The sequence below is a fragment of the Homo sapiens genome, chromosome X, assembly GCF_000001405.40.
Source record: "Homo sapiens chromosome X, GRCh38.p14 Primary Assembly".
NCBI classification, from domain to species: Eukaryota; Metazoa; Chordata; class Mammalia; order Primates; family Hominidae; genus Homo; species Homo sapiens.
In genome coordinates this window covers 36,050,699-36,073,703 of record NC_000023.11, presented here as the reverse complement: position 1 = coordinate 36,073,703, position 23,005 = coordinate 36,050,699, and the positions used below count along the sequence as shown (strand labels likewise).

General features: G+C 36.1%; 1 protein-coding gene across 3 annotated transcripts in view; it reads right to left on the bottom strand.

Annotated features, from left to right (window-relative positions):
• The window catches only part of CFAP47 (cilia and flagella associated protein 47), a 465,584-nt gene that overhangs the window by 311,614 nt on the left and 130,965 nt on the right, over positions 1–23,005 (bottom strand). For all 3 annotated transcript variants that reach the window (NM_001304548.2, XM_017029452.2, XM_017029453.2), the window contains exons 27-29: positions 7,961–8,061; positions 1,733–1,879; positions 340–565 (exon numbers count right to left, since the gene is read on the bottom strand). In NM_001304548.2, the coding sequence (NP_001291477.1) occupies positions 340–565; positions 1,733–1,879; positions 7,961–8,061 (474 nt within the window). The remainder of the gene's footprint in view (positions 1–339; positions 566–1,732; positions 1,880–7,960; positions 8,062–23,005) is intronic.

Sequence of the window (23,005 nt, the reverse complement as noted above, 5' to 3'; positions counted from 1 at the left end):
TAATCTCGATCTAGGGCTAATATTAAAAGGGCTTTCCTACTCACAGTATAACCTTCCTCATATCACAGATGAGGAAGGTGAGGTTCAGAGATGTTCAGTGCTTGCCTAAAATTATCAGATATTTAAAAGAAATTAAAGATGACATTATACTAAAAAATTTGTGTTTGCATCATTTTACTCTTCTTGCAATAACAACAATAAATTATGAGATGCTTCATAATATATCAGTTTAGAATAAATTACTTCATATTGTATTTCACTTAAAATAATCTCAATCAATAGATTATATTTTATGATGTGATATGAAGCAAAGAATTTAGAGAAACATGGGACTCTCACCTTCTTATAGTCTCTGGAATAGAAAAAGAATGGGGTCCTTCAGGCCAGCCAAAGAGACTGAACCAGGTCTGTGCTGCATTTACAACCTTCTCAAAAAAGTAGTGTGCCTTTGTTCCTTCCTCAAGAGAAAGGAATTGTTCATATTTTTCCTTTTCCAGAGACCCATGATCTTCCTCTGATGTTTCACTTTCATCCAAGTGCAAATTTTCAGGCAGTACTTCCACTCCTAAAATTAAAATTAGTTTGTTAAAAAAGGGCTACTTGACGAGGAGTAAAATATTCTGTCAGTTATTGTCATTTGTATGCAGACTAATAGAACCTATTCTACAAATTATTCTATGCTCTCAAAGAAATTCTGAGTCAATTTACTATATCTTAAAGTAAACAATGAAAATACATTTACTTTTAAGTACCTAAGAGAAACGTTTTAACAATAGCTGGATTTCAATACATAAAAGTTACATTTTCTTCTTGCCATAATGGTATGTGAAAATATTCCCTGAAGTGGAATCTTTCATTTTTTATTACATTAATAAAATGTATTGACAATCTTCAGCATTATGTATTAGAAAAAATTTAATCTCATCTGAAAAAATTATACAAAGACAATATTGGTTTAGATCCCAAATGACTTTCTATCCAAATCAAGTACTTGAATAAAACAAAGCATTTTCAAGTTAAAGTAATTTTCAAGAATATAAAATGATTTCATCTTTTTTTTCCAAAAATATCTGGTTATATAATGGCACAATCACATACTCACTAAAAACCTCATATTATTTAATTTGGTTTGGTCCATTCAATAAAAAGAAAAATGTTCATTATTACCTACATCCAGAGAAATAAATATTTGAACAGTTAATGGTAAATAATAGTATGAAACTCACATATTTATCTGTGCTGACCTCTTTCTAAGACAGGAAACCTTGGCTACAGTTAGTTAGACAACGAAGAGACAAGTCCTTAGTTCTGCAGTTCCCAAACTGTGCACAGAGAGTGCTTGGGATGTCACAGTAAATTTACAGAGGCTCCACAGGTATTAACGTTTTTGTTAAATATTACTGCAACATCTATTAGACAGCACATAAGTACTACTCTTACATTTTTGTCCCAATGCATTTAATAAATGGAACTATGTGCTACATTTTGGCATTCAGAAAAGTAAATACTGAAACAGTAAGAGTGCTGTGAACCAAGAACATTAGAGAATCTCTACTATTGACCCTTGAAGACAACTCTCCAAACAGATGATCCATTTAAAATTAATGACAAATTCCCAATTTTCTTCATGAATTTCTTGTTATTTGTAAAAACCTAACCTTAAATTAAGTGATATTAAGGAGATCATGTCATGGACTAATTTTGGAAAGTACACTATATATTTGCTACATACCAATAAATAAGTTTCCCTTTGCAGGTTCAGCATCATTGAATTTGCTAGTGGTGTATGTCTTTTTAATTGAAGCAGGAGAGGGTGGTTTAGCATCCTGGTAGGGAGGCAAAACACCATCTCTAGTCTTCTTAAGATATTCATCCTTATCTACAAATGACACATTGGATCACAGTAAGCAAAACATGCATTCACGTATTTCTTTATACCATTATTTAACCTGAGTTTATCTATTATCTATTGATGTATATATCTATCTATGTATCCATCTATCTATGACAAAGTAAAAAAAAAGTCTAAACACCCACTGTACATAAAATAAGATGTCAAATAGGAAAAAGATAAAAGTTGATACAATTTTCTAAACTAAATGAATTTTTTTGGTAAGGCAATTGTTATGGTACATCAAAGTTATTAGAGAATGAACAATGTTCAACTTTAGCGTAAAAAAGAATATGAAAATATTTTAAATGTTTCTACATCCAAATAAATGAAATTATTACATACGCTGTTCAAAATAAGATATAGGAAAAGAGTCACCAGAAAAACTAATATCTTCCTAGTTAACTCTCTGTAATAACATCACAGCTTGGTTATGAACTGATACCATTTTTGTACAGATTTCAATCTCGATTTCAGTTACAGTTGCTATATATGTATATTAGGGACTGCCACAGTGTAAATCTGAATCCAACCAAAGGCAGTGCTGGCCAAGAAAAGCCAGTAGGTGTGACCTAAGGCCAAGCCTCAAAATACATATGCAATTTACATATAGTCATAGTCTTGATGCAGGACAGGTGGGCCACAGAGTGGATCTTAGCCTGCAAGGGTTCTTGGCTTTGCCCAGGAAAGAATTCAAGGGCAAGCCAGAGGTAGAAGTAAACGGCTTAATTGAAGAGGCAGTGTTACACCTCCAGCAATATTACAGCTCCATGACTGCCCTTGGAGAGCAGGGCTAGCCCTAGGCAGAGGGTAGCAGCTCAGGGCAGTTTTGCAGTCATATTTATTCCCATTTTTAATTGCATGCAGATTAAGGGGTGGTTTATGCAGAAATTTCTAGGGAAAGGGTAGTAATCCTTGGATCATTGCCATGTAAAGGGGCGGTAACTCCCAAATGTTGCCATGGCAATGGTAAATTGACATGGCACACTGGTAGGCATGTCTGATTGAAAGCTGATTTTGCAGCCAGGTGAGGTGGCTCACGCCTATAATCCCAGCACTTTGGGAGGCCAAGGCGGGCGGATCACCTGAGGTCAGGAGTTCAAGACCAGCCTGGCCAACATGGTGAAACCCCATCTCTAGTAAAAATACAAAAATTAGCCAGGTGTGGTGGCGCGTGCCTATAGTCCCAGCTACTCGGGAGGCTGAGGCATGAGAATCGCTTGAACCCAGGAGGTGGAGGTGAGCTGAGATTGTGCCACTGCATTCCAGCTTGGGAGAGAGATGGAGACCTTGTTTCAAAAAAAAAAAAAAAAAAAGGAAAAGAAAAAGAAAGCTAATTTTGCCCGCACTCTGTTTTAGCTAGTCCTCCATATGGTCCATTGTCCAAGCCTCCAAGCCCCACCCTGGTGTCAAGTCCCAGCTCCTAACTCAGTCTAATTCTGTCAAAAAAGCATAGACTCTGCAGTTAGAAAAATCTGATTTGAAAACTTGGCATGCCTACTTCTACTCACAGTTAAACTGTGAGTGTGTTATACAAATTATTTAAAACATGTATTTATCCATAAAATGAGACCAAAGTTTCTGAGCTCATGAGTTTGTTGTGAAGATTACATTAAAGACAATAACAAATATAAATGAGCTATTATATGCTAAGTTTCTTGCACTCTTTCATAACAGAGTCATTTAGAATTTGCCTGAGACTCTGTAGTCAATAGGTGTGCATTATTTCCAGAATGCTACACCACTATAGACTTCATAGAATTGAGCCTCAGAGAACTCAATGATAAAATTATTTGTGGTAGATGCATTAGGCTAAATGTTTTTAACTTGCCATTAAATGATAAAAAGTTCCCAGTGGAATGCAAAGCCACATCTATACACTTTCAACTAAACTCAATAATTCACTTTTTAAAAGAATTTTGCAGATGAACTATACTAAAATAATCATACTGCTTTACTTTTAGATATACTTGATATATTTTAAGATTTTACCTTTATTGATCATATCATACCCTAGCACACACTACCAAAGTGTGTGGGAGCTGAGGCCTCAAATTTCATTAGAATTCCCTGGGATAAGCTGCTCACCCTCTCTACATATTCAGATTTTTAATTTGTAAAGTGAGATATATAAGGGCATCTAACTCAGAACTTCTGGGAGGACTAATTTAAAGGACAAATATAAGGCACTGAGCAGAGCACCATATACCTGGTAAGCATTAAATATATATTAGAAATTATCACTATATATATTTCTAAAGATGTTTTAGGATATTTAAGAATTATAATTTCTTTCTTTTGAAATATTTCCCCAAATGGATGCATTATTTTCACACATAGACTTTATGCTTAATAATCTAACAACAAGGTTTTATTTATTTATTTATTTTAAAGAGATAACAATATTATTTATTGCCCAGTAATTAATCATTATTTTCTGGAAGTAAATTATAAAGCATATAAAAATGATAAAGCAATCACAACCACAGTGATAATAGCAATAATAATGAAATATTATTCATAACAATAATTTCCATGTATTTGCAGTCTATGGGTCCTCACAAAAGCCCTTTTAAATAGGTAAAACAGATATTATCAGTATTCTATTACTGTTCTGTCATGTACATTTTGCTTAATAAAAGATGGTAAATTTGAAGATTTAAGAATAAAAGATAAAATCATATGGCATAAAAGTGTGGTTAGAACACAAATGAGAATTGCCATCATCTAGTTTGTGTGACTCTTCATAACTATTATGTTGTATAATCTGAAATCCTCCCCCTGGAAGTAGAGTGGAATATAAAAATATTATGTCAATATTCGTCAAAAAAATCTTTTTTCTTTTTTTTTTTTTTTTAATTGAGGAGTCTCGCTCTGTCGCCAGGCTGGAGTGCAGTGGCATGATCTTGGCTCACTGCAACCTCTGCCTCCTCGGTTCAAGTGATTCTCCTGCCTCAGCCTCCCGAGTAGCTCGGATTACAGGCACGTGCCCCCATACCCAGCTAATTTTTGTATTTTTAGTAGAGACGGGGTTTCACCATGTTGGCCAGGATGGTCTCGATCTCTTGACCTTGTGATCTGCCTGCTTCAGCCTCCAAAAGTGCTGGGATTACAGGCGTGAGCCCCTGCGCCCGGCCAAAAAAAAAAAAATCTTTACATTTTGACAATGTGTGTTAAAATTTTGAGATATCTATCTCTCCCTATATATCTCCACTCTGCCAACTGCATTATTCCATAAATTGCTTTAAAATAATTTTTTGGTGTTCAGAATATGCTATTTCACATATAACCCATTCTTTTATGAAAATATATAGCTAAAAGATGCCTTCCTGATGGTTTATGATTCAAGTAATCCATTTTACAATACTGAATAAATACCTTTTATCTGCTAAACACTGTGTGAGGCACTATGGACACAAGGGTGAAAAAGAGAGAGGTGATTCCTACTCTCACAGACTTTATAGATAGCAACATTTAGAAAAAGACATTGATAATAGGCAGGTTAAGTCAAAATGTAGTAAGGGCTATGACAGAAGAATTGCACAGAGCTATGAGGATACACCAGAGAAACACATAATTTTTGCATGCAGAGGCAGGGATCTTCTATAACTGTGTACGGTGTCATGGGTAAAATGCTCCAGTCACAAGAAAGAGTATCAGTAAAGATCAAGATGCTCAAAGAACTTGCAGAAGATTAATGTGGCTTGAGCATAAAGGGAAAAATGTCCAGAAATGACAACTAAACCACTTGCTAACATGTGTGGTCTTGTAGGCTTCATCCACCTAGCAATGATATTCTATGGAAAGATTTTATACCTGGGAATTAAAGAATGAATTTTCAGTCTGTAAATATCACCGTGGCGGCCAGGCGCGGTGGCTCACGCCTGTAATCCCAGCACTTTGGGAGGCCGAGGTGGGCGGATCACGAGGTCAGGAGATTGAGACCACGGTGAAACCCCGTCTCTACTAAAAATACAAAAAGATTAGCCGGCCATGGTGGCGGGCACCTGTAGTCCCAGCTTCTCGGGAGGCTGAGGCAGGAGAATGGCGTGAACTTGGGAGGCGGAGCTTGCAGTGAGCCAAGATCATGCCACTGCACTCCAGCCTAGGAGACAGAGCGAGACTCCATCTCCAAGAAAAAAAAAAAAAAAAATCACCGTGGCCATTCTCTGAGGGTAGCTATGTGAAAGGGGAGACCATTGTAGGAGGAAGGAGAACAGTTTAGAAACCCCTGCAACAACCCTGGAAAGGTATTATGGCAGCTTGAATGTTTGTAGTGGCAGTGGAGAGGGAGAAAAGTGAATGGATTTGATAAATATTTAGGCAGCAAAAGGGACAGGAATTGGTTGACTGGAAGTGGAGTGTGAGAGAGAAGACATTGCCAATGATGGCACTCAGGTTTCCGGATTTGGCACCTGTATGGACTATAGGTACAAACATAGAGATGGGGTATATAGAGAAAAAAATGTCAGAGAGATGACTTCAGTTTGGGTTATGTTGTTTTGGGGGTGCCTATGGGAATACAAAGAATGGTATCCAGAAGACAGTTGAATTCTGAATTCCTGAATCTCTGAGAGGAAACAAGGCTAGAGGTATAGCCCATGGATTGTAGCTGAAGTCATGGAAGGAAGAAGAGAGGGGTCAGAACTCCTATTGACACAAACAATTTAAAAGTACAGATAGAGGAAGAGGGAGGAATCTATGAAAGATGCTCAGAAGGAACAGTCAGAGAGGTTAAAGGAGACCAAAAGAAGTATGGTATGTGGAAACCCAGAGAAAGTTTGAAGATGGAGAAAGAGAATAGTCAAGTGTTAGCTGTGCTCAGTAGTTTAGTTATGGCAGCATAATGGATAAATTCTTCTTCCTTACCCCTGAATTTTTTTTCCTGTTAAAGGCAGTTGAAGTTTTCTAATTGTTTAATTTCCTCTGCTGCTTTTCTCCTTCTCCCTGGGAAGTTGAGTGATTTATTTTACTGTTAGATTTGGAAAGAATTAATAAGGAATGCATGGCCTGAAGCTACCCTTTTTGCTCTTTGGGAATGAGCCTGCTGGCCACTGGGAAAATACAGTCTCCTTTCTCCTTTCTACTGTCTTCCTAGATGCTCACTCAAAGCAGCTAAGAGGGAGACAGAAATGAAAAGATAAGCAAGGTTACTTGATTGAGAAGGTACCTGGGTAAAGGGATTCAGATAAAGGAATAAGTTAAGGCAAGAGAGAGCCCTGGCTCCCAGCTTTGTGACCAGTAAAAAGAGTCACGATACATGCTTGTGACTTGCTTGTCACAATCCAGTTCCAATCCAAGAGGGTATTTGGAAGTTCAGAGTGGTACTGCTTAATGGCCTCTATTTCTTCTGAATAGTAAGAAAAAAGAGTCATCCCCTGAAATTAAGGTAGAATAAGACTAAATATGTTTCATCAGAGTTGTAAATATTTGAAGAAACAAGTGAAGAATATGAGAAAATTGGTTAAAAACAAACAAAAGACCTCTAATTCAGCACTGAAAATTAAGACCTTGACGATCTACACAGATGGGATTTTTTTTTGTTACCCACTCTCCCTCCTTTCTCTAATGTACTCCCCTGTTTCTTGCCTTTCATATTTCTCCCTGCTCACTAGCTTGTTTAGTATTCTTAGCTTCTCTCACAATTTCCCCTGCAGCAATTCCAGGCTGGTCTAATGACCACACTCTGTCCCACTTTAATTCATCACACATCCCAAGAATTGTTCCCTTTCTAAACACTGATACTCAAAAAATGACAGAAGGTTCCCACTGCTACAGAATAAAGGGCATAGCATTATGGTCCTGTACCTACATTTACTGCCTTACACCTCCTGTCACACCTGCATGTTTCTGCTATATTGTCTTTTGCCCAAATCATTCTATTCAAACTAGATCGTCAACTTTTGGAATTAAGAGACATACAGATTCTACTCTCAATGACAAGCACAGCTTCTATCAGAGGCAGCTGTTTAATAAACAACTGATAATTTTAAATTCACTTTATTTCTAGATGTTGGCCAAGAACCTATACAGTGAGAGTTAGGGATAAATAAGTCATACATAGCTTACCATTCTTTAAAATAATGTTTTGCTTATCCAGATGAATTGCCATATATGGGTAAATAGTAAGAATGCAGTTTTCTGCTGTTGCAGTAACTGGAAGTGAAAACCTGAAAGTGAAAACATTGCATTTCAATACAATAAAAATTTCAGATGCAGTAAATGCCATGCATTTAAGTATCCCAGATGCCCTTAATGATGAAGACATGATTTATTCATTTTTTCTTTCTACTTACTTTGTTTTTTTAACCATCTACTCAATGTTAATGATTTTTAAAATTTTTACTTCTAAAGATTTTAATAGATAGTATAAATTTCACTGTCAAGTGTGCTATAGAACACAGCTTGTAACTGTGCAGGTGCAAAAACACAGATTCAGGAAAGTTTAGAGTTGAAGGTGTCTCATAGTTAATTTACTCCATTCTTCTATGGAGTCCCTGACAAATGGTATGTAGCCTTGGATGATGCTATTAGGGAGACACTACCAGATGACATTCACAACACAGAAACAGCCCATTTTATATCTGGAGAGCTGTAACTTTAGATCTGTCCCAGCCCAACATAGAAGAAAACCTACAATCTGAACCCCATTACAGTTCTTCAAATATTTAAATACAGTCATTATTTTTTCTCTAAGGTTTATGTTCAGATTTCAGAAATTTAGAACATTCAAGGATTCTTTCTACTGCCAGGTCTCCAAATCTCTTATATATCAGTCTCATTTATTTAGATAACCTTTTGTTTTCTGTTTGTCCTTCTTTAAATGTGTCTGAGGACTGAAAGCAATATATACTGCAAAAGTTATTCAACAAGTACAGAGTACTATTACCTTCTATAACCTGCATACTCTATTTTATGAAAGCATTGTGAAATTGTCTTATTATGTTTACCAACCACAAAACACTCTTAAACTATATTTGGGCTGTCTATCTTATATGACAATTCTATTCTTGTGCAACTGATTTTTTAATAGAAGGGCTATATTTTATATCTATATCACCTTAATACTGCCTTATTAATTTCAGATCTGCATTATAGAATACCAAGAAAATATCACTGTTGAATCAGCCATCTATCATCTACTAGTACTTTATGGTCACTAGCTGAGGTAAAATGCCAAAATCCCATGTTTTAATGCAAGTAACTGTAAGTAAATATAGAATAGGATGAAAGTAAAAAAATGTTCATAGCTGAAATATAATGAGTTATCAAGTAAATTAATGGTAAACATATATTACATGCAACTGAATGATTTCCACCTCAGTTCTGCATACAATATTTTCCAGTAAGAAAGGAACTACATTTTTCTCTTTATACATTGATATAAACATTGATATTAACATTTTATGTAAAATACACACACTCAACATCATCTTGGTTAACAAACACTAACCTTATCTTTCTTTGCTATGGATCCTAAGCACATGTATCAGATAGCCTTATTCAGGATTACATTTCATATCTATATGTAATTTTTACCATATGATATCATTCTTAAACTTAAATTTCCTTGATAGCATAAATCAGTACTTCTACAAATTGTGCACTTGTGTTAAACATAGTGATCAATCAAAATTTCATTAGCCAATTATCTATATTTAACCAATAATTTTAGATTAAATAACATAGTTTACATACAGGCACCATCATCACTACCACATAGAATAAGAAATATTACTTTTTGTTTTAACTATGACTACAGAAGGAAAAAAAGACCACTGTAATAAATTCTGTGGATGCTCTGCCCTTATACTCATATCCCCTGTGATGTACCCTGGGGCAGGCCCATAGCCAACACCTGTGGGTATGGAAGTTTCAAATCTCAGCTCCATCACCCCAATCACAACAAAAATTGTGATGTCATTTCAGTTCTGGAGAAACCTACAGGATTAGGTTGCTGTTGAGATTTTGATTTAAATGTCACATTTATTTGGAGTGATCAATTCCCTCTTCTACTTCTCTTACCCCATTACTTGTTTTTTGTGGGGGGAACATTTCCTTAATGCACAGACCCATGCATCATCATCTAAAAGTGAGCTTGTGGACAAAGTTCCCTAAGACAACTACCAAATGAACAAACCAAAAAAACACTATCACTTGAAATATTTCTAAAATGGTAAAGAATTAACGAAAATAATTCTGAAAATAAATTTTATTCCAAGAATGAAGTGGAAATAAGTATAATGTTTATTTGTTTCTCTTACAAACCTAGTTTGCAGAAGATAACATTTGATTTCAGATGTTCCTCATGGTAAAAAATAGCCAAACATATACAAAACTGACTTGACCACATTCTTTTCATAGAGCATATAATATAGAAATTATACAAGTAATATGGCATGGGACTATGGACACTTCACTCATTGATATTACTATTAAAATATATTAAAACAGAAAAAAGGACATACAGTTGGTAGTACCAATAGCCTATATTTTAATAAAAATATTTCTGGAGAAATAGAGCAATTTGTGTTACTTCATCAGGGGACAATGGTAATATTTATGAATTCCCTATGCCAATGCATACAGACACAAATGGTTACTGACAGAGGAATTGCTCTAAAAAATACTCAGTATTACAGTAACAATGAGATGAAAAGGCCCTTTGATGTTATGAGTTTCAATTCCATTATAAGATTTAAATAGCTACCTCAGGCATATGTGATTTAAAATAGTTCTACTGGGTAAAAATCAGAATGAATATTCCTGGCAATAAGAGGGTCAAAGATACGATGTGAATGTTAATGAAAATGTAAATGGGCTTGTACTATTTTTGGCCGTGTTTCCTGTTATAAGTAATACTGTGTTTGGTCATTTGGTTATGGTGGTGTCCACCGGATGTCTTCATTTCTTTTTACAGCAGCATTAGACATGTAATTTACATACCATAAAATTCATCTTTTAAAGATGTACAATTCAGTGTTTTTTTAAAATATAATCACAGAGTTGGGCAACCATCACCATTATCTAACTTTAGAAAATTTTCATTGTCCTTAAATGAAACTCTCTACCGCTTAACAGTCACTCTCTATTTGCAACTCCACCCCACCCCCAGCCCCTGAAAACAACTAATCTGTCTACGGATTTTCCTATGCTGGAAATTTCTCTTTTGGAAATTAATAAGTATTCTGTGGATGAAATGTGGAGACCATGTGTACATCCTTTTCCTCACCAGTCTTTCATATTTTGATATTGAATGGTATGATGACCACATACAATTCATTAAATAAGGTGTGAAAAGTCTCACAATTCATCTCTCTGGTCATTAGCTAGTGAATAATTAATACTCTAATCACACATCACTAATTCTTTCCACATCATTAGTGAGGCTGAGAGATTTTATGGTTGTCTGAGCAATTTTTAGGAATAAAACTTTGAAGCTTCATGTTAAATTTCCATGATAACTGGCCTTGTATTTATAATATTTTGCCTTGTATTTATAATATTTTAGCACTTCCCATTAGCACACAAAATACCGTGATGGCATGTCAAACACATGTCAACATCATAAAAAATATCATGATATTATATTTATCATCTTTACTAAAGTTCTGCTCCCATCGATACTATTTCAAGGCAGATCTTACATTCTAAAAGCAATCTTACTTAGCATGATTTTAATTCACAGAGAAATGGACAGAGCAAGAAAGCCTCCAGGTTTATAGAAACATGTCTCTCTAGTCTTACTATGGTTATCTGACTAAACTTTTTTCTGCAAAGCAGCTAGAAAAAAAAATTATATGTTGGTAACACTGGCAGTGGCTACGAAGGGTTAAAAGAAGAGGTTATGGTAACATTGCTTTTGATTAAGGAACGATATTTCTGTATATAGGTTTGAATAAAGTGAACAACAGGTGAAGGAGAGGAAAAGATGCTGGGTTGGTGTTTTGAACATGCTTTAAATTGTGAAACCAATGACCACCCCCATCACCATAAAAAACAGATGCTTACAGAATTCATATAGCATTTAGGTAAAGACTTAAAATCAATGGAATAAATTCAGATGACTATATTTCCTTCAGGGAAATTTATTACACAAAACAAACTTCCTTGAGCAACCATTCTGATGTGGTTTATCCATACCTATTTACAATTTTTCTCAATTTCAATAACCATTAGCAAAATATTTCATATGTAACTTTACTCACATGCACAAAAATCCATTGATATGTGTCTTAAATATCTAACACTTGCTATAGCTATTACTTCATGTCAATTAAGTCAATTGATGGGACAAAAGAATTTTAATCCTGGTGCTCTTATGTATATTTATAACATACATAGAGCTCATTGAGTATGAGTAGAGCTCATTCATTATGTTGCCAGACACAAGAATCTCTTGATCACAAGTGAGGACATCATATGTCATGTTGTTAATCAGTAATAGAGTTACGAAGTGTATTAGTTCATTCTCGTATTGCTATAAAGAACTACCTGAGGTTGGGCAATTTATGAAGAAAAAGGTTTAATAGACTCACAGTTCTGCACGCTGTACAGGAGGGCATGCCTGGGGAGGCCTCAAGAAACTTACAGTGATGGCAGAAGGTGAAGAGGAAGCAGGCCTGTCTTACACGGCCGGAGAAGGAGGAAGAGAGGGCAGTGGGAGATGCTACACACTTTTAAACAACCAGATCTTGTGAGAACTCACTACTGCGAGAACAGCAAGGGGGAAATCTACCCCCTTGATCCAATTACCTCCCACAGGGCCCCTCCTCCAATATTGGGGCTTACAATTCCACATGAGATTTGGGCAGAGACACTAATCCAAACCATATCGCAAAGTCTGGACTTATTTATTTATTTCTAACAGATAAAAACAGACTGGACATACTTTTTATTATAATGTGATTGTCACTTGTTTTTCAGTGTCTTTAACTTGAATGAGGAGGAGGAAGGGAGTAAAGTTATAGCTGCTCTTCTGGGCATTGCAATAACCCATAATATGTTAGCTGTAGCCCATCAAGAAATTGTTATTTATAAACACTAATAATTCTAGAAAATATGTGCTATGAACCAATTTCGTGCCCTAAAATAGACTTTAGGTTCTAAATCCCCCTAAGTCCAAGGAAGTATGTTTCACATATGAATGTCTTCCATTGATTTGTACCACAGCAGAGTAAGATAAAGGAAGAGAATTCTTCTTCAGATCACATGAGAGATCCATAGATATTCATCAAATATAGAAATATATGTTCATTTAGCAATTCTATAGGTGTATATTAATTCTTTTCACATGAACCATCTCATTGGTAGTATGCCTTTTTCTCTGGAAATGATGCTATAATTCATGTAAAACATTTTTGAAATTTCAAAATCTCTCTTTAGGGTCTATTTGCACAATTTTAAATTGTGTTAACATCAATCAGTATACATCAGTATGTGTTTTATTTGTAATTCAGTGATTTTATAAGAAAATATAACAGATTTTTAATGCTGTTTCAAATGAAGTTTCCAGGAAGGAATTGGGGCAAAAAGTAAAATTTATCACTTCTAAAATGTTTATACTTAGAAATATTATATTTTGTGTATATATATATGTTCACACACACACACGTGCACAGAAATACATGGACATTGTCTTAGTCTGTTTGCATTTCTATAAGAAACACCTGAGGTTAGGTAATTTATAAAGAGATTTATATGGCTCATGGTTCTGCAGGGTGTACAAAAAGCATGGAAACAGTATATGCTTCTGGTGAGGGCCTCAGGCTCCTTCCATTCATGGTGAAAGGCAAAGAAGAGCCAGTGTGTACAGATCACATGGTGAGAGAGGAAGGAAGAGAGGGAGGAGTGAGGTGCTAGGCTCCTTTTAAGAATCAGCTCACATGGGAACTATCCTGGGTACTAACAGAGCGAGAACTCAATCATTACCTGAAGGACAGCACCTAGCCATTCATGAGGAAACCACTCCATGACCTAAACAATTCGCATTAGGCCCCATCTCCAATACGGGGGATAAAATTTCAACATAAGATTTGACAGGGCCAAACAAACCATATCCAAATCATAGCAAACTTACTAGTGCATATGCACAGATATACACATTATTAATGTATAAACCTTATGTTTGTGTTTTTATGAAGGCATATACATGTATTATATTCTAAAAATACACAGAAGGAATCTAAACTTTAATCAGAAAGAGATTAACATATTAAATGGCTGTGTCTTTACCTCAAAGAGTAGAACTGCTAAATATCACGCCTTGACCTGTAATGCAATAAGTACAGCAATGCCTAACAAAGAAAAATTATTTCTAATCATTAGCTGTTCTACTGTTTGCATGCTTATCTACTTGAAGGTTAATTTCACAGAACTTAGAGCATAGGCACTAGCTATTACATACCCTATATGGGTTAATATTTGCAGCCTGATGGAACCAAACACTAAAACTCCGACATGATGATATGAAGTCACACAAAACAGTAAGATCATTGTTATTTTCATTCCAAGAATAGTGTAGTGCACTTTATTGACTTTATAAGACAGGAATGACCTATCCAAACCATGCTTTTTACAGGCTCTTCTCCTTATATCTCTTAGGAGATTTCAGGATATATATAACTAATTAAAAAGGAATAGTTATACTTTGAAATGGCTCGATTCTAATTTTTTTATAAACAAAGAATAGCACAAAAACAAGGTCAGAACTGGCCTTAAAAGTTGAAGGACATTAACTCCGTGTAATGTTAAACTTCCTCTGATAGAAATACTTGTTAAAATTATTTTCCCAACTGTCTGGCCAATGGTCTGAATTCCTATCATGAAATATGTATTCTCATTAGTTAGAGCAGTACAATCCGAAAGAATATTTGTTGATTATAAATTAGTAGCTTGAAGATTAGCTATTAACATTTAAGCAAGGGCTCAGCTATTAGAGATCAACTAGGACATGATGAAATGACCATAGGAAATTAGGAAGTTAGCAGACGATCTGACATCACTTTCAAAGGGAATATGATTGCATATGGGTGAGTGCCTCAGCTGGGAACTCCCGGCAATAAGAAAATGGTACAAAAGGGAAGGGCAAAATAAATCAATTAGGAACTACAATATATTCAACACAGCATAAAATACTCTCTTATCTCATTGATTTTTCCAGAGTTAGATGATCTCTTTTATAATGTCCCCATTGGATATAAGGGCAATAATAGAAAGATGTGTGAACTTAATAAAAATAAAGTTCACATATTGTGTTGTATTGTTCCTTTCAAATGAGAGGTCAGTAAAATCCATCCAAAATATAACTGCATTATTAGTAACAGACTCGGAATGGTAAAACTACTGTTTCTGTAATCTATGAAAATGGTTCCCAATTTCTAGGCTGCAGACTCTTACAAAGCAGCTGAGGGTGTACCTGCAAAACAGTCAGTTTGATAAATAATTTTTAATACGTCTTTTAAAATGACTTTACAAATGTCATTATATACTCTAAGAGGTAATACAATTACATTTTACTTTAGAGTTTATCTGAATTTATAGTAATGTTTGGTGATATGTTTTCTCAAAAAACAGGTAATAAAATGTAAGTATTTTCATGTAGAGTGGCTGGCAAATGGTTTGAGCTTAAAAAGCATGCAGGAATTGAAAAGAATGAGATCACAGCTCTTCAGTTTGAATGTAGCAGAAAATAAATCATGCTAATATTTCATTAGTTTATGCAAGACTGAAATAAAAATCATTTAATGTTCATGGAAGTCAGATGTCACTTCAAGCCTTAAAGTAGAATTCTGAAGTACTATTTGCATTTCAGCATGGAAGAATTAAATCCAACTTCCTGCCATTGATGCTTCTTTATGTACACTTATCCAGTAGTAATAGGAAAGTACCATGCCCAGCAAACTACTGGAAAAGGTCATAAACACCCATGTTCTGGCTACAAAAGCTTAGGTTGGTGCTGTTGGAGACTGATTCTCACAGTTACATAGAATACTATTAAGATTATGGGGCTAACATTTGCTTCCAGATTTAGTAATTTGGAAACAAAATGTTTAAATTGTAATAAGCCTGAGGAAAACAGTTGCCAAGAGAATAACAGAGGGTGAGTATGGGAGGAAAGAGAGGCATTAAAAAAATTATAAAACATAATGAATTTGCATGCCCGTTTCAATAAATTGACTTAGAAGGTTTGCAGTTTTACCAATCACTGCAAGGTCTATATTTTTAGTAGAATATAGGGTATTTTTTAACAAAAGTTAATAAATATTCCATTACACAAAACAAACTAGAGTCAGCTATGAAGACTGATTTGTGAAGGTGTAGCACAAAATTGACATGTATATATGCTGCCTTTTTATTTTCTTTTATTTCACAGGGTTGTTGATGTTTGACTTGCTATCAATCACCATGTCCTAATATTTATTCCATCAAAATGACTTCTTCTTTCCCATTCACAGTTTAATTTTCATTCTAACAACCACCACTCTAATTCTGCACATTTGCACAGCATCAACCTGGAATAGCTTATTCATTGGTCTCTTTACTTCTGCCCTTTGTCATAATTACCTTGCACATAAATATCTTACTCATTATGTCTAGCCTCTTAAATGCAAAGATAAGCATACAGCATGTAAAAAAGACTGCAATATGAGTGTATGGATGGATGGAGAAATTGACATCCTCATCTGTGATACATTTGAGCTACTGGAAAAAAAAAACTACTTTAGACATCAGTGGGGATCCTACATGTATAACATTCAATCCCTAATTGTCATAGGTTGAGTTTTCTAGAAGCAGACAGTTTGGAGTTTAAGAGGATTATTAGGGAGTAACACGTGTAAGAAATGGAGATGGAACCAAATGAAGAACAGAATGAAGTAGAACAGCTATGCAAGCCCAGTGAGGACTTGTTCAACCAGGCTGGGAGCTCTGGATTGCCTTTCAAAGTTTCTGGTATCAGGCTGAAATGTGTAGTCCTCTAAACATGTCTTAATCAGTTAAAAGAGGCAGACTTGCCTGATAGGGTGTCACCTTAGTCAAGGTGGCACTCTTCAGCTGAGAAAGATCCTGTAGGAACTGACAAAAGGAGGCAGGTAGCTGATAGCATTTCACATAGCTAAGCACCAAGTGCTAACATGAAAAGGCATCTGGCAAGTTCAGTTCCACATATTTCAAATTAATCAACTCATTTTTATCCTAATTTCCAAATCATAAAAAAATCTAACAGTTGTGATCACCCATTATAGCAAGCTGTATCATTTGCCAACCCCACACACTTGGTGCTTTTGGTGTGTTTTAGGACAGAGAGATACACGCTGGTCAGTACACCATTTGAGCAGCCTTCCTTAAGTGAGGAGAGACTGAGTAGCCACTTGAGGATTTCATATCCTTGTAAGTCTGCGAAGCCCTTTGTAAAGCACAGCTTCTTCAGGCATTACTTGAAATTCTATCGAGTATAAATATGAAATGCCCTTCTTGGTCAATTTTGCTCATAGCCAATTCTTATTCATTAGTCAACCCATGTTGTATATGTCACATATCACTCTTTTTTTATACATATTGTTAGGATACTAATTACCAAGATGATGCATTATGGTTTTTAAAGTTATGGTTTCATCCAGTAGGAACCACCACAATGCAAGTAGATGATACTTTTATTTTGAAAGTAAGAGCTTGAAAATAAACTATCATCAGAATGAGCAGACAACCTACAGAATGGCAGAAAAAATTTTGCAGTCTGTCCATCTGACAAAGTACTAATATCCAGAGTGTACAAGGAACTTAAAGAAATCTACAAGAAAAAAACAACCCCATTAAAAAATGGGCAAAGGACATAAACAGACACTTCTCAAAAGAAGACATTCATGCAGCCCACAAACATGAAAAAAAAAAGCTCAACATCACTGGTCATTAGAGAAATGCAAATCAAAACTGCAATGAGATACCATCTCACGCCAGTCAGAATGGCGATTATTAAAAAGTCAAGAAACAACAGATGCTGGTGAGGGTGTGGAGAAAAAGGAGTACTTTTACACTGTTGGTGGAAATGTAAATTAGTTTAACCATTGTGGTGATTCCTCAAAGATCTAGAAGCAGAAATACCATTTGATGCAGCAATCCCATTACTGGGTATATATCCAAAGGAATATAAATCATTCTGTTATAAAGACATATGCACATGTATGTTCACTGCAGCACTATTCACAATAGCAAAGACATGGAATCAACTCAAATGCCCATCAACGATAGACTGGATAAAGAAAATGTGGTACATATACACCATGGAATACTATGCAGCCACAAAAAGGAAGGAGATCATGTCCTTTGCAGGGACATGGATGGAGCTGGAAGCCGTTATGCTCAGCAAACTAATGCAGGAACAGAAAACCAAACAACAAACACATGTTCTCACTTATAAGTGGGAACTGAATGATGGGAACACATGGACACATGCTAGGGAACAACACACACTGGGGCCTGTCAGTGGGGAGCAGGGGGAGAGAAAGCTTCAGGAATAGCTAATGGATAATGGGCTTAATACCTATGTGATGAGTTGATCTGTGTAGCAAACCACCATGGCACACATTTGTCTATGTAACAAGCCTGCGCATCCTGCACATGTACCCCTGAAATTAAAATAAAAATTGAAGAAAAATAAATAAATAAATAAACTGACCATGTCTACATGGTGTTAAATTAAAAAAAAAAATAAGAAAAAATACTAAGAGCTGGCCGGGCATGGTGGCTCACGCCTGTAATCCCACCTGTAATCCCAGCACTTTGGGAGGCCGAGGCGGGTGGATCATGAGGTCAGGAGATCGAGACCATCCTGGCTAACACGGTGAAACCCCATCTCTACTAAAAATACAAAAAATTAGCTGGGCGTGGTGGCGGGCGCCTGTAGTCCCAGGTACTCGGGAAGCTGAGGCAGGAGAATGGCGTGAACCCGGGAGGCGGAACTTGCAGTGAGCCAAGATCACACGACTGCACTCCAGCCTGGGTGACAGAGCGAGACTCCATCTCAAAAAAAAAGAGAAAAAATAGTAAGAGCTTGAATGAGTTCTCTAAGATTCTTTATAATAATATTCATCTTTAAATAACTTTCAAGCATTAAAATGATGAATTTTAAGTCTGCTGAAATTCTGAAAACCGTATTACAAAAGCATTTTTTATATTGGTTTCTATTTGGTTGAAAAAACTAAAAATGTTCAGGATAAAGGTAAATGTTAAATAGATTTAAATAATTAAATTACATAAAATTAAGGACATTAAGAGAAAACCATTCAATACATTTAATAAAATATTTAAATGAAGAATTGATATAATAAAGTTGGTTTTAAGTTGAACAGAAATTTTTAAACAGAAAAAATATTTAATTTAATTGTACACATTATTCTTTTCTTTTTAACATGAAGTAAATGCATTTTGATTTCTAATAACACCCTTTGTAAGCATAAAGCATACATTTAAATATCACCTATCTAATATGAAATGCCCAAATTATAGACAGCAACACTTATGGATAACTAATGGCTAGGTAATTTATTGAGTAATCAGTTCAGATTTACAAATAGGTGAGAAACTGGGTAGCCACAGTGGGGGTGGGTCTGAGGAAGATGAGATGGAGAGGGCTGTACTAGGAGGTCCTAAGGTAGCCGTTGACTGCATGGGCATCCACCTTCTAGGAGTTCTGTGAAGAACAGCAACCAGGAAGGTGCTCACAACCAGTAAGGGAGATAAAGAGGACAAGACATTGGAATTTCCTTTAAAATGAAAAATCTCTAAGCAAGGCAGAGGTTCTCCAACCAACTTCACAGATCCCAAAGAGGATGGGGTTAGAGAAAAGAAAAAGAAGGATATTAGAAAAACTACATCTGTGGTTAACTCTTTTATTCTGCTACCTGGTGTTAACAGTACTATAATTTTAATAATCTGGGAAGATGTGGTAAATATTACCTTGACAGTTTCTCAGCTTTTGCATTTCTATGCAAATTTTAAACTCCACCATTTGGCTACAAGTAAACGATGAATAACTTCCAGTTATGAACATCGTATATTTATAGTGTATTATGACACACCAGTATTATATTTTTTGTTAAATATAAATGAAACATTCTACCTTGTATAGAGACTATGGTTTGTTTGAATAGATTAACCATGAAAATAATGTTCTTTGTAGGATGAAGGTGCCATTACAAACAGCTTTTCACAGGGCTAGGACAAAGAATACAGAGCAGATGATTATATCAGAACACAGAGCGGTCTCATGTGAACTCTACTCCCTTCCTCACTGCTTATTCTATCTACACACACAACACTAAGGAAGGTGGACAAGTGTATGGTATTATGCATAACTCATCCCCCCAAACCATGACAAATAATGTTTTGAGGTAATATTACCATACTGACTTCAGTTATGAACAATTAAATGGATACTAAGATTTCCCATTGCCTGCCTTTTGTTGCCATGATGCTAAAATTTGAGATGGACCATTGTAAATGGTTTGCATTAAGAATGGAGTCTCCAAAAGATGAATCTATCCTTAGTAATTCTTCTTAATCCATAAGGAGAGCTTTGAGTACCTCAAAAGTTGCCTGTAGCTACCTGGTAGTATCCCTCAGAGGTACGCAACTCACATTACTTGCTTATTATAAGCCTTAATTTAAATATATATTCAAATATATCTACATACTTATTTTAAATATCCAATATCAAATATCCCAAAAAGGCACATAAAAAGCAGGTATTAGTTTACACTACAGTTCCTAAGGTAGCATTGCCAACTTGAGTGAATAAGTGCTTTCAAACTGATTTGACTCTGGATCTGATTCATTCTCTGCTAGCCTCCTTTATGTGATGCAGTTTCCTATCCATTCAAAAACAGGAAGGTATCTGAAAGAGGCATGCTAAATATACATTTTAAAGCACTAGGGACTGACCCAATGGTGCCAAGCACACTCTACCCAAATGCCAAATTATGCACTGAGCAGAACAATATTTAGAATTACCTTCATTATTCCTCAATTCTTTCTAATTGTATTGAATGCTTTCTAAAAATAGTATAATTTCCATTTAAGTGATTGTCAATGAGAGTAAGTATAAGAAGCTTTATTATGCAGCAAAAGTTGTTTATAAACCCATAACATGGTTGATAAAATGCTACTGAATAGAGGAAAAGAGCTAATATAATTAACAGCTGTATATTCTCAGTTTTAAACATCAGACCTGCCTATTTAAAAATATATTTCTCATCAGAAAAATGTTAAGTACATTTGCAACAAAGTCTATGAGTTTTATCTCTAAAGTCTGAATGTATTGATTAATTAAAACCTCAATGAAAAATGTAAGAATTCTAATTTTTATTATTTAAAACACTTATAAATGCATTAATTTATCTTTATGTGCAAAATTTTATTGTACCTGTTTTAAAGGCAGAGGATATATATAATCCAGTTCCTCAAATGTGGCAACTTGCAAAATTAAGCAAGAATGTGGTTAGTTATTTTTAAGAAAAGGTCAATCATTCTACTATGCTATATCTCATCCATGATTAGGAAAACAATCAATTTTTATTGGCTTTGAGTGGACAACTAAATCAGGTACTTTCCAGGAGTTTCTGTGCCAATAAATTCATAGAGCAGACACTTCAATATTAGCTTTGCTGTTAATGACACTGTATTAGTCCATTTTCATACTGTATGAAGAAATACCCAAGGCTGGGTAATATTTAAAGAAAAAGAGGTTTAATGGACTCACAGTTCCACATGGCTGGGGAGGCCTCACAATCATGGTGGAAGGCAAAGGAGAAGCAAAACACATCTCACATGGCGGCAGGCAAGAGAGTGTGTGCAAGAGAACTGCCCTTCATAAAACCATCAGGTCTTGTGAGACTTATTCACTATCATGAGAACAGCAAGAAAAAACCCACCCCCCTGATTCAATTACCTCTGACTGGGTCCCTCCCATGACATATGGGGATTATGGGAGCTACAATTTAAGATAAGCTTTGGGTAGAGACATAGCCAAACCACATCATTCCACCCATGGCCCCTCTCAAATCTCATGTCCTCACATTTTAAAACCAATCATGCCTTCCCAACAGTCCCCCAAAGTCTTAACTCATTTCAGCATTAACTCAAAATTCCACAGTCAAAGTCTCATCTGATATAAGGCAAGTCCCTTCCACCGCTTAGCTTGTAAAATCAGAAACAAGTTAATTACTTCCTAGATATAATGGGGGACAGGTATTGGGTAAATACAGCCATTCCAAGTGGGAGAAATTAGCCAAAACAAAGGGGCTACAGGCCTCATGCAAGTCCAAAATCCAGCAGGGCAGGCAAATCTTAAAGCTCCAAAATGATCTCCTTTGACTCCATGTCTCACATCCAGGTCACACTGATACAAGAGATGGGTTCCCATGGTCTTGAGCAGCTCCACCCCTGTGGCATTGCAGGTTACAGCCCCCCTTCTGGCTGCTTTCATGGGCTGGCATTGAGGGTCTGCAACTTTTCCAGGTGCATGGTGCAAGCTGTCAGTGGATCTAGGGGCTGGAAGATGGTGGATCTGGGGTCTGGAGGATGGTGGATCTGGGGTCTGGAGGATGGTGGGCCTCTTCTCACAGCTCTCCTAGGCAGTGCCCCAGTGGGGACTCTGTGTGGGGGCTCTGATTCCACATTTCCCTTCCACACTGCCCTAGCAGAGGTTCTTCATAAGGGCTCCACCCTGCAGCAAACTGCTGCCTGGACATCCAGGTGATTACATAAATCATCCGAAATCTAGGGGAAGGTTCCCAAACCTTGACTCTTGACTTCTGTGCACCTGCAGGTTCAAAACCACATGGAAGCTGCCAAGGCTTGGGACTTGCACCCTCTGAAGCCATGGCCTAAGCTATACCTTGACCCCTTTTAGCCATAGCTGGAGCAGCTGGGACACAGGGCATCTCATCCCTAGGCTGCACACAGCAGGGGTACCCTGGACCTGGCTCAGGAAACCATTTTTCCCTCTTAGGCATCCAGGCCTGTGATGGGAGGGCTGCTGTGAAGATCTCTGACATGCCCTAGAGACATTTTCCCCATTGTCTTGGTGATCAACATTTGGCTCCTTGTTAGTTATGC